Source organism: Homo sapiens, chromosome 2 (assembly GCF_000001405.40).
Source record: "Homo sapiens chromosome 2, GRCh38.p14 Primary Assembly".
Classification (NCBI taxonomy): Eukaryota; Metazoa; Chordata; class Mammalia; order Primates; family Hominidae; genus Homo; species Homo sapiens.
Genome location: NC_000002.12, coordinates 108494260 through 108507159, shown reverse-complemented (window position 1 = coordinate 108507159; position 12900 = coordinate 108494260). Strand labels below are relative to the sequence as shown.

The following is a 12900-nucleotide window of genomic DNA, read 5'->3' as shown; positions in this document are numbered from 1 at the left end:
CAGCCTCACATTGTTGGGATTACAGTCACGAGCCACTGTACCCATCCATATGTCATTCTTTAGACACACTACTTACTAAATTTCTCTTTTTAAAGGATATACTGAATTTCCGGTTGAGCCAACTTAACAGCTAATTTTCTATTTTAGCTTTAAAACATTGATAAGCAACATGAAGCAATCTAGAACTTAACCTTTAAATGGCTTTATTAAAGAAATCCAGCTATGAAAATCATGCAGAAATGATTATTTACAAACAATCCTACCAGCACATAAGAAATTCTTCTTCTATTCTGAAATACCATCTTCTCACAATATACTTTGATGTTATGAATCAATGTCTGTTCTCGAACATTATTTGTCTTTCTCCATTAAACAATACCAAAATAAAATTTCCAGCACAACTAAGTATTGTTGACGATAAGAGGATTTAAAAAAAAATTCTTTTAAAACAGAAGCTTATATACAACTTAGAATCTAAAACCAATAGATTTATGGTAAACCTTAAAACTGAACCAAAACAAACAAAAACCAAAGTTTTAATCATTTAAAAATCATGTTTATTGAGGTACAACTTACTTATAGTAAAACCTGCCCTTTTCAGCATATAGCACTGAGTCTTGACAAATGCACAGTTACGTACCACCACCGACCAAGGCCTGGCACATTTTCACCTCCTCAAAGTTCTCCCTGGCTGCTTCTCCCACTCCTTGGCAACCGCTAACCTGTTTTCTGTCCTTATAGTTCTGCTTTTTTCAGAGTGTCATATAAGTAGAATCACACTGTACATAGTATTTTGAGTCTGACCTCTGTCAACTGGCATAAGGCATTTGAGAATTATCCATGTTGCTGTACTGGCAGTGCATTCTTTTTTATTGCTGAGCAGTATTCAATTGCATGGCTGTACCAGTTTATTCATTTGCCAGTTGAAGGATAACTGAGATCTTCCTCGTTTTTAGCAATTTTAAAGAAAGTTTCTATGAATAATTGTGTACAGGTTTTTAATTAAATGTTTTGGAGATATAATTCATATACCACATAATTCACCTTTTTAAAGTGCATAAGTCACTGGTTTTTAATATATTCACAAGGTTTGTGCATAGGTTTTTGTGTGAATACTGGTTTTCATTCCTCTTGGATAAAGATTTAATTTGGTATTATCCTTCCAGACACCTTTCTGTGTTTTCATACGTATATATGTATGTCAGTTTGACCTTAGGCAGAGTAGCATTTTCAAAATTTTACATGGGGAAATTTTCTAGAGTTAAAGCCATTTTATTTTTCTGTTCTGTCTGGTTTTATCTGCGTGTTATTTACAATCTGCTGCGTAACAAATTACAAAGTTAGTACCTTAACACATATTTATTTCACAGTTTCTGTGGGTCAGGAGATCAGAAATGGTTCTATTTCAAGGACTCTCACAGGGCTGCAATCAAGATGTTGGCATGGCTGGGGTCTCATCTGAAGGCTGGACTGGAGAAGAATCTACTTCCAAACTTATGTGGTAGTTGGAAGAATTTAGTTCCTCAAGGCCGCTAAACTGATGGCCTGTGTTCCTTGCCTATGGGATGGTAGCTTGCTTCAACAAAGTGTGCAAGCAGAGAAGACAGAGAGTCCGCTAGCAAGATAGAAGCCACAATCTCTTGTAATCTATCATTTTTGCTGTATTCTACTGGTTAAAAATAACTCATTAGGTTAGCCTACTGGCTCTCAAGGGGAAGAGATTATACAAAGGCATGAATTTCTGGAGGAGGGAATGAGGGCAAAGAATTCTGAGAAGTCTGTCTTCCACAATCTGAAGAACTTCTAGAAAGTAGGAGGAAGCGATATTGCTTAGGGATGGACAACTTGGCACTGGTTATGTATTTCAAGTGAGGTAACCTTGTTCCCAAGAATAAAGAGAACCAGACGACTGTAAACATTTCCCTAAACTGAAATGCAGACTGTTGTATGTTCCCCTGAAATGAATGGTGTAAGCTGAATATAAGATTTTTGACAAAAATTTTGCTGTGTTCTCAGATCTGGCAGGCCCCTGCCCTTGTGCAAACAATGTTCCTGGCAGCTATTCATCTCCTTAGGTAAATAAGAATTGGAGAAAAGCTGTGCTAAGATAGGATGCATTTGCTCTTGCCTTGGAAGGTTGTTTTCTGATAAGGTTCTATATCCTCAGCAAATCAAATCAGGCACTTACAGTGTGAGTATGCATTCTCTGCCTGCCAGTCTGGAGATGATCAAAAAGCCTATAACAGGCTTGGCCTATTTTCCTATTGGGTTGCTGGGCTTTTTTTTCGTCTTTATTTACTTGTAGAGAGTTTTAGACCTCTGTGTATGTATGGTGTACAAGTGACAATATTCAGATCTGTAAACTGTAACACAGTCTGGGAGCAAAGAAGATATAGAAAAATGACTTTTACTTCCTGCTTGAGTAGTAAAATTGAGATTCAAATTTTGCATATAGAAGTACTATATGGCTAACTTATTTGGGGAGCAAAACTGACTTACCATAAGTCTACCTGAAATAGAAATGAAACACTCAATTTGTGAAATATGCTGAGTTTTAATGTGTGTGGGGGCAAGGTGAATTAACATTTGTGATGCAAGGAGAGGAGCAATCTATACTTACCAGTGTCTATTTGACATTGTTTGGGGACTACTGTTACACTCTAAGTCACTTTACCTTATAACGCAGAGTTGTAACACGCTACTCTGAGCAGCTCATGACATCTGCTTGAAATTTAAGTTGGGCCCCTAATATGTGTTAATTATAAGGACTTTGATGTTGCTTTTCCGAGTTGGGTAACCTACTTTACCCCCTAAGCTAATGTTTCCCAAATACACCCAAACCCACAGAAAGGAAAACTATTCCTCATTAACTTACAGCCAACATCATAAACATTTTATATCTAGAGCTGATGATACAGTCAGGTATTTACCAACACTCATGTATATATGTAGAGTTTCAAGAAATAATTGCTTACCCTTACTAGATGCAACATATTCTAATGTTTGACATATTATTTTTATTTCTTAATTTTTTTTTAAAGATGGGGTTTTACTCTGTTGTCCAGGCTGAAATGCAGTGGCATGACCAGGATTTCGACCAGAAGTTTGACTGCAGCCTCGAACTCCTTATAACAAACAATCCTGCTGCCTTAGCCTCCTGAGTAGCTAGGACTATGGACACATGCCACCAGATCTGGGATATTTTAAAATTTTTGCAGACATAGGGTCTCGCCATGTTGCCCAGGCTGATTCTGAACTCCTGTTCTCAAGCAATCCTCCTGCCTGGTCTTCCCAAACTGTTGGGCTTACAGGTGTGAGTCACTGAGCCCAGCTTGTATTCTTTTGATTTTAAAAAAATATTCTGAATGTGATCCACCAAATTAATTTCACCATCCACTAATAGGTAGCAACCTGAATGAAAAATACTGTTATAAACTTTACACAAAACCAGAGATTATAAACATTTGCCTCCAAGGAGATGAGAGAGGCAAAAGGTACTTGTTTGCTCTGATGGGCCCTGTTTCCTTCAGTGCCAGGAAGAGTGGCTCTCAGATCTTTCTTCTGGCATCCCTCATGTATGCAGTGTTGGTTATTATTTTCAAGGCCTTGGTAACAAAATGCCCCTAGTGTGACCAGTCAGACTGACAGTCCATATCTGTAATATGGTGGTAAGTTTCCTTTGCATGTCTTTCTTTCTTGCATCTTAGACCTTTTACCTAGGAAATTTTCTTTTTGCTTAAAGTACATCATTAAGAATTTTCAATGAAGGCAGATTCTTAAAGTTTTTGTTTTCCAGAAGAGATCTTGGAAAATATAAAAGGTTGGCAGTTATTTCTTTTAGTACATGAGATAGTATTACACCAATGCTGTTGAGAAGTCTATTGTGAGGCAATGTGTCTTCTTTCTCTGGCTGCTTTTGAGATTTCTCTCTGTCTTTTTTAGGGGCAGTTTTACTCTTATGTGACTAGAAGTAGATTTCTTCTTTTTTTTTTAATACTGCTTGAGATTTTATTGGGTTTTTGAATCTGTGGATATCCTTCAACAGTTCTGAAAGATTTCCAGCCATTCTCTTCATATATTATCTGTGCTGTATTCTTTTCTCTCCTTTTAGAACTTCAATTAGTAAAAACATGTTTGATGTCTTTTCCCACTATTGTTTTTTGTTTCTCCCATGCTGAATTCTGTGTAATTTCTTTTGAACTATCTTGTAGTTTACATTCTTTTTTTTTTTTTTTTGAGACAGGGTTTTGCTCTTGTTGCTCGGGCTGGAGTGCAATGGCACCATCTCAGCTCACTGCAACCTCTGCCTCCCGGGTTCAAGCGATTCTCCTACCTCAGCCTCCCAAGTAGCTGGGATTACAGGCATGTGCCACCACGCCCGGCTAATTTTTGTATTCTGAGTAGAGACGGGGTTTCACCATGTTGGCCAGGCTGGTCTAGAACTCCTGGGTGATCTACCCTCCTCAGCCTCCCAAAGTGCTGGATTACAGGTGTGAGCCACCGTGCCAGGCCTTACATTCTCTCTCTTTAAGAGAGAATGTAAGGTATCTAAATCTGCTGCTAAACCATCATTGTTTTTAATTGTAATAAGGTCTCTTTTATGTACTCACATTGATAAGAGACAAGTAGTAAATAATCTTTAAAGGGCAAACTAATTTAAATGTGTTTTCCTGTCTGTTTACAGGACTTAGCAAATGCACATCTTAGAGTTCTGGGTTTCTAATGTGTATCTCCTCTATGAAATTCTTTAAAAATATCTGTTCTTGGTATCCCTTAGGTTAGTCTCTTTTAGAACTTCTAAATCAATGGACCCTTAACTTATAGGAGCCACCTGGACGTTAGCAACATCTACATTAAACATGCTGAGCTTTTAAAAGAGGCCTGTTAGACATGCTGAGTATTTTGAGATAATATCATTGTTGTATTGAAAGCTATTGAAAACTTTAATTTTAAAATGCAAACGTTCTTAAAGTCCTGGTTGATTTTATAACTATAAAATTAGTTATAATTTTGAGATTTCTGTCTTGTTTTTTTATAGGGGCAGTTTTACTCTTAGGTAACTAGATTTCTTCTTTTTTATAATCATAAAATTAGGTTTACTTTTGTTAGAATAAATTAAAGACAGTGAATTTGTAATTTGAATAACTACTAAAAATACACATGATGTATTCTTATTTGGGCCCTTGTGACGAAAATACTATTGTGGCTACAGAAACCTATCCTATAGTTTGAAGAACTGAGATTACTGTCAGTATTGAGAACATTCCTCCTTCATCATTAGAAAGATTATAAAAAACCAGATTCAAAGAAACTATCAATACTACTTATGAAGTATGTCTGTAAAAAAAATTAAGCCTGAATCTTATCAGGCCTCTAGACCAGGGGTTCTCAAGGTATGGGCTCCAGACCAGAAGTATCAGCAACAAATTGCTAAAAATGCAGAGTCTTGGGTCAGAAATTGGGGACCAGCAATTGGAATTTTACTAAGTATACCAGATGATTCAGATGCCTGCTCAATTTTGAGGATGACTCTTATCAGTTTAGTTATTAGGGTTTACAGGGGATGGGGAACATGTTAAAGAACACCAACTAGATAAGGTCAATCAGGCAAAAGTAAGATGTCTGGACATTCTGGGCCTCTTGATGTCTTAGAAAGCACACAATACCATCTATGATGTGTTTTTGTCCACCATCCCACCCAACTGCACCTGGATCTTCCTATTTATAGGCAATTAGAACAAGTTCAGTGTTACCCTGTAATGATTAAAACCCAAATACAGGACTGCTATAGCATAAATGACCACTTTCTTCAATAAGTGGCACATTAAAAATATATTTATATATATAATTGTTATAGATAAAAAAACAACAAAATGGCTGGGCGTGGTGGCTCACACCTGTAATCCCAGCACTTTGGGAGGCCAAGGCGGGCAGATCACAAGGTCAGGAGATTGAGACCATCCTGGCCAACATGGTGAAACCTCGTCTCTACTAAAAATAGAAAAATTAGCTGGCGTGCATCTGTAGTCCCAGCTGCTGGGGAGGCTGAGGCAGGAGAATCGCTTGAATCTGGGAGGCGGAGGTTGCAGTGAGCCATGATCGGACCACTGCACTCCAGCCAGGGTGACAGAGCAACACTATGTCTCAAACAAACAAAAACACGACAACAAAATAAAGCTTAAGGAACATCAACCAAATGCAATATATGAGCCCTATTTAGGATACTATAAAAAGACATTCACAATAACACAGGCAAAATGAACATAAACTAGGTATAGGTGACAGAGAAATCCAATAAACATTGAATTATTCACTGGGGAAAGAAATGATGTGTGGGATTTAAGTCTCTAACTCTCCCCTATTTACGCCAAAAGATTGTCCATGAGTTGAAAACTTAGAGATGGGTGACAACGCAAGAGAGATTATAGTGTCTTCCTTGTATGCTTGTAAATGTCAAAAATAAAAGTAATTTAAAACTAAAACAAACATGAAACCATAATTCTTAAGATGCAGCTTGAATTCAGTTAACTATAGCAGTTGTATATGAAGCATTTCAAAGAAGTTAATGACATCACAGTATTAAATCCATCTGACATGGAAACCAACTCTAACTACATCATAGTTTTTTTTTGTTGTTGATGTTTTTTGTTTGAGATGGAGTCTCGCTCTGCCGTCAGGCTGGAGTACAGTGGCGTGACAGCTCACTGCAACCTCTGCCTCCTGGATTTGAGCAATTCTCCTGCCTCAATCTCCTGAGTAGCTGGGACTATAGGCGCATGCCACCACGTCCAGCTAATTTTTGTATTTTTAGTAGAGACGAGATTTCACCATGTTGGCCAGGATGGTCTCGGTATCTTGATCTTGTGATCCGCCTGCCTCGGCCTCCCAAAGTGGTGGGATTATAGGCGTGAACCACCGGCACCTGGCCTATGGCACAGTTTTAAAACTGCATTTGCCTAGAAAGTGGACTGCTGTATATAGACCAAGTGTTGGGCTATATATGACTGCATTGTCTTAGGCTATTTGGGGTTGGAGGAAGGAAGAGGCGTGAAGTAGAAAAGGAACAAGCTAATAAATGTTTTTTAAAAAGTAGAATTTAAAACAAAACCACGTTCAGCTGAACACCAGAACGCAACACCAGGATAAAAATCCAATTTTCAAAGAGCTAGAAGATCAAGCTAAGCACTTACTGTATTTTGCTGAACGTTAAAATTATATAAATGTACTACAGTTGCCTCAAGATGTTAAAAAGTCAGCTTTTCAAATCTAGTCACGGCCTACTCATATGACAGACCCAATTCAAATGAGCAAAATTGAAAAGTTACACATACAGACAACTTCTCAACCACCAGGCTGTTTAGTTTAAGTTAGAAGTCAGAAGTTCTGAGACTCTCCTTTTACCCACCTTGAGCAACCGCAGCAAGTTTTCCCTTTTCTTCAGGGCTGAGCTGCAACATCGTATTTATAACAGGAAGAAGTCTCTCTCTTTCACTACCTGGTTTCAAGAAAATGAACTGCAGCAAGACGTTCTTCAAGTATTCCAGGTTAGCTGCAGACTTCTCTCGCTCTTGATTCCTTTCCAATCTTCTTATTTCACTTTTGAGAAGCTGGTGTTAGAGAAATGAGTTAAAAATGGGCTTTAGGAGCTTCTGATTAAATATGGCAGACTGAACTCATGTATTTTTCTTCTCTTCCCCCCAAATTTCCCCCTTCCCTCCATATGGCAATAAAGGAAGGAATTCAGTTAACTACAGCAGCTGCATGTGAAGCATTTCAAAGGAGTTTATGACATCACCGTATAAAATCCATTTGACATGAAAACCGGAACTCCAACTATGAGATAGTTTCAAAGCTGCATTTGCCTAGAAAGTGGATTGCTGCGTATGAACCAAGTGTTGGGCTATATAACTCCACTGTCCTAAGCTATTTGGGGTTGGAAGGAAGAGGGGTGAAGTAGAAAGGCAAGAAGCTAATACAAGAGGAGAAAAAGTAGATGAGACACATCAAGAAATTCTCACGAGAAACAGATGAAGAGGTGGAAATGAGTCAGTCCAGCAGCTTACCAAGTATCACTGACGAGGAGAGGATGCATCCTGTGTAAATACTGGGGTTCTTGTCTCAGAAGCACAGGGTATCATGGAAATGGAGTTGAAAGCTGGGGAACTGATGGAACGTCTCCATGAGGAGCAACTAACTGGAGCCATGGGTTGGTACCAAGATGTTCCCTCTGCCTTCTACTTTCGATAGAAACTAAGCCAGTATGGCATGGGGCTCTGAAAATGGGCTGAGGGGAACATCGGCAGCCTCCACTAACCCCCTGCCCCTACCCTGTTCCTGAAGTCCCAGGCAGTTAAGACGTCCACAGTGAACGGCACTTAATCAAAACAAAAGTTCAGACACAGTGAAAATTCAGGAATATAAGATAATGTAAAACACTATCAGAAAAATGAGGCAAAGAATGATATAAAAAAGGTAATAGGATGTTCAAGTCTTTGAGGAAGATTTCCAGGTTGAAACCAAGCCATAGCTTTTAGTATATTTTCATTTTAGGTTAGGCAAGAAAGTTAGCGAACTTTGTCCTCAAACCTAGGACCATTTAAAAAAGTGACAATAAAGAAGACTAAGAAATCATGAAGAGAGTATAAATTTATGAAAATATAACATTTGGCCAGGCGTGGTGGCTCATGCCTGTAATCCCAACACTTTGGGAGGCTGAGGCAGGCAGATCACGAGGTCAGGAGATTGAGACCATCCTGGCCAACATGGTGAAACCATGCCTCTAGTAAAATAAAAAAAATTAGCCGGGCATGGTGGTGCGTGCCTGCAGTCCCAGCTACTCGGGAGGCTGAGGCAGGGGAATCGCTTGAACCTGGGAGGCGGAGATTGCAGTGAGCTGAGATTGCACCACTGCACTCCAAACCTGGAGACAGAGCGAGACTCTATCTCAAAAAAAAAAAAAAAAAAAAAAAAAAAAAAGAAAATATAACATTTAAATAAGTCATTTAGGTTTACTGGGCTAGTTAGTGATTTGTTAGCTACGATAATGTTTTTATTAGTCAGAAAATGTTATTTTATAGAGATGCATACTGAAGTATTTAATGGTGGAATGTCATGATATATACAATTTACTGAAAATAACTGAATTCAGCTTTAAAATAATCTGACAAGGATAGCTAGTGGCCTTGCACAGTGGCAGGACAGATCTATTAGGAGCAGCAAAGTACAGGGGAAAAGCATGTACTTTTCAGACAGCTATGGGTTTAAATTTTGTTCCACCATTTACCAGCTTCAATTTTTCTCTCAACCAGTGATGAGATTAAATAACGTATGTAGAGCCCAGGGCCTGGGTCATAAGAACTCCTCAATAAGCAGTATGACTATATTCTGAGGGGTGATTTATCAGTGAGCCAGGGTGGAAATACCTCATTTGAGTAATCCTCAACTGTTCTGCAACATTCCTAGATGTTTCTGGTGTCTACTTTAAACAGGAAAAACTTCCCATGCCACTTTGCCATCTCCACCTGAAAACTGTTTAGTAGTTCAGTACTATAAATATCAGTTGAATAATTTAAATTCACTGGTTATCTTTAGAATTCAACGACTCACACCCATTTAAGTTTTATTTAAGCATATGTGAACAATGATTTGTGAACATCTCTCTAGTTTCTAAATCTATTACGGTTTCTTAGAAAAAGTAGGAATTAAGAAATAATCTTTATGTAATAGGTGTAAAAGAAGTATTTTGGCTGGATGCAGTGGCTCATGCCTGTAATACCAGCACTTTGGGAGGCCAAGGCAGGCGGATCACGAGGTCAGGAGATCGAGACCATCCTGGCTAACATGGTAAACCCTGTCTCTACTAAAATTACAAAGAAATTAGCCAGGCATGTTGGCGGGCACCTGTAGTCCCAGCTACTCGGGAGGCTGAGGCAGGAGAATGGCGTGAACCTGGGAGGTGGAGCTTGCAGTGAGCTGAGATCGTGCATGTGTATGGAGGGTCAAGAAAACCAAACTGGCGGTTTTCACGGCGGCCAGGTTTTCTGATCTCACCTTAATTTGCTCCATAAGAATTGCATTGGTTGCTTCTGTTTCCCGAAGCAGGCCGTTTAAGTGATCTGCACTTTTTGTGGTGGAACTGAGCTTCTGAACCAATTCTTCTTTGGTAAATTCAGCATGCCATAATGGAGGCTCTGCAACATGTTGTTCCAAGAATTAATTTTCAAAATCATACATTAAAGATGAAGATTCTAAATAAGAAAAATCTAAATATAAATATCTTACTATGTGATATTTTATAGGTCTGCTTTCTTTGCCATTCATCTATTCGGCATACCTCAATCAACAGATTATATGTTGTAGGTGACACAAATAAAACAGTATCTCTGTTGTAAAGCATGTCATCTAACTGAATACAAGCCCTATGAGTCCCAGTTCTGAAATTTGTCAGAATTGTGTTTATAGACAGTTTTATTACACATCTTCTTCCTATCTATTAATATTCCAAGATTTTATGTCATTTCACGTATAAGGAAAGCATTAACATTTACTGGTCACGTATCATGTTCCCTCATAAGAATCTTCTATCAGGCGGGGTAGGTATCATTATTCAAACTTTACAGACGATGAAACAGGCTCACAGTTGACAGGTAATTTTTGCAGAAATCACAAAGTCAAATTGGCTTCTGGAGTCTGCTGCTCTATCATGATGCCTCCATGTCACCACTATTAACTTTGCCTGAAGGAACCATGACTTGCAGTTTCTACCCCACGTGGTCAGTGACCATGAATACAAATGACCCTTACTCCAGGTGATTCTGAAGTTTCAGGGAGATGACAGATTCCCCCTAAATTTTGAACAGTAATATTAATTACAGGTAATAAAATATACCAAAACATCACTACAAAAATTTAGCATTACTTCATCAAGAGGAATAAACTGAAACTGTCAGTTTCTTGGAAGCGTGAGAGGATAGTTCATCCTGCTTTCTAATACCCACCACCTATTTGTGACTATAAACTTCCCACCACTTATTTATGGTTCAAGCCTAGGGCAAGAGCTAGCATTTTATTTTAAAAAAGATTTGTTTAATAATTTTTCCATTTGGACAATGTGATGGTTAATACTAGGTGTCAAGCTGATTGGATTAAAGGATGCAAAGTATTAATCCTGAGTGTTGTCTGTGAGGGTGTTGCCAAAGGGATTAACATTTGAGTCAGTGGGCTGGGGAAGGCAGACCCACCCTTTATCTGGTAGGTACCATCTAATCAGCTACCAGCGAATATAAAGCAGGCAGAAAAACCTGAAAAGGCGAGACTGGCCTAGCCTCCCAACCTACATCTTTCTCCTGTGCTGGATGCTTCCTGCCCTTGAACATCACACTCCTAGTTCTTCAGTTTTGGAACTTGGACTGGCTCTCACTGCTCCTCAGCCTGCAGATGGCCTAGTGATCGTGTAAGGTAATACTTAATAAGCATCCATCCATCCATCCCATCCATCCATCCAACCATCCAATTAGTTCTGTCCCTCTAGAGAACCCTAATACAAACAGGTAGTGGAATATTGAAAGAAATTTTATTGGAGCAGCCCAAAAAAGCATATGTAACTTAGAGTAATAGTAATTAAATAAGACAGTGAAATTAAATAAGAAAAACATATTTAGACAGAGTAACATACCAAGTTTAGTTTCGGGAGAGTTAAGCAGCTGCTCTAAAGACTGTGTGTATGTGCTGGCGGAAGACACAGACTCCGTATCAGTTGTCTCCATGCCTTCTCCCTCTTCCCGGGTTACAGTGTGCATGTCTAGAAGCGGGAGGTCTGTGTTTCTCCTTTCTCGAAGGTTCTTCAAAGATTGTTGAGAGGAAACTGGGCCTATTAGATTTTTTTAAAAGGTTAAGTGTGAGATTGTTCAAAATCTATTGATTTGGCCTTACAGAGATACACAATAAAATGAAAATATCAAATGATAAGAGTAGAGGAATTAAGTAACTATAAGATAAGTGAAAGGTGTATGAAGAATTGCTAAAGCATTTCTTAAAATTTAGTCATCAAAGCTGGGCGTGGTGGCTCAAATCTGTAATCCTAGCAGTTTGGGAGGCTAAGGTGGGTGGATCACGAGGTCAGCAAGTTCAAGACCAGCCTGGCCAAGATGGTGAAACCCTATCTCTACTAAAAATACAAAAATCAGCCAGGCACGGTGGCAGGTGCCTGTAATCCCAGCTGCTGGGGAGGCTGAGGCAGAGAATTGCTGGAAACCAGGAGGCGGAGGTTGCAGTGAGCCAAGATCACACCACTGCACTCCAGCCTGGCGACAGAGTGAGACTCCAGCTCAAAAACAAAACAAACAAACAAAAACTTAGTAATCAAACTTTTAAATACGTTACTCATTTTAATAGAAGCTATAAATTAATTGCTACTAGCTAAGATAAACTGTTAGATAACACAGCTCATAATATAGTACTACTTATTTTTTATTAATTTAGAGTAGAGGGCCAAACTACTGCTAAATACTGGCCAAAATTAAAAGACTAGATTCTAGCAATTTTTCAGGATTAGGTATTTCAGATTGCTGCATACTTCTTGAAACACACTTGTTGAAATCTGCTTGGCAGACATCCTCAATCACTGCCCTTATACCTTTACCTCTGCAGCTTCTTAATTGTTGCTGCTCACACCTACAGTGCTCATACAGTAAGAGCCCAGAATCCAGGGCACGGAACTAATCAATTACATTGTCTAGCAAGACTTTCCTGTTTGCTGATAAACTGTATAGTGTTTTTTTTTTTTCTGAGACAGGGTCTCACTCTGTCACACAGGTTGGAGTGTAGTGGCACGATCTTGGCTCACAGCAACCTCTGCCTCCCAGGCTCAGGCCATCCTCCCACCTCAGCCCCACAAGTAGC

At 38.9% G+C, this 12900-nt stretch overlaps 1 protein-coding gene across 5 annotated transcripts in view; it reads right to left on the bottom strand.

Moving 5' to 3' along the window:
* GCC2 (GRIP and coiled-coil domain containing 2) overlaps window positions 1–12900 on the bottom strand; it is a 60210-nt gene that overhangs the window by 2256 nt on the left and 45054 nt on the right. For 4 of the 5 annotated variants that reach the window (XM_006712870.4, XM_006712871.2, NM_181453.4 and 1 more), the window contains 3 exons: window positions 11675–11869; window positions 10051–10190; window positions 7406–7607 (listed from right to left, as the gene is read on the bottom strand). In XM_006712870.4, the coding sequence (XP_006712933.1) occupies window positions 7406–7607; window positions 10051–10190; window positions 11675–11869 (537 nt within the window). Of the gene's footprint in view, window positions 1–7405; window positions 7608–10050; window positions 10191–11674; window positions 11870–12900 lie in introns of those variants that run through there. The other variant, XR_923067.3, reaches the window with a different exon arrangement.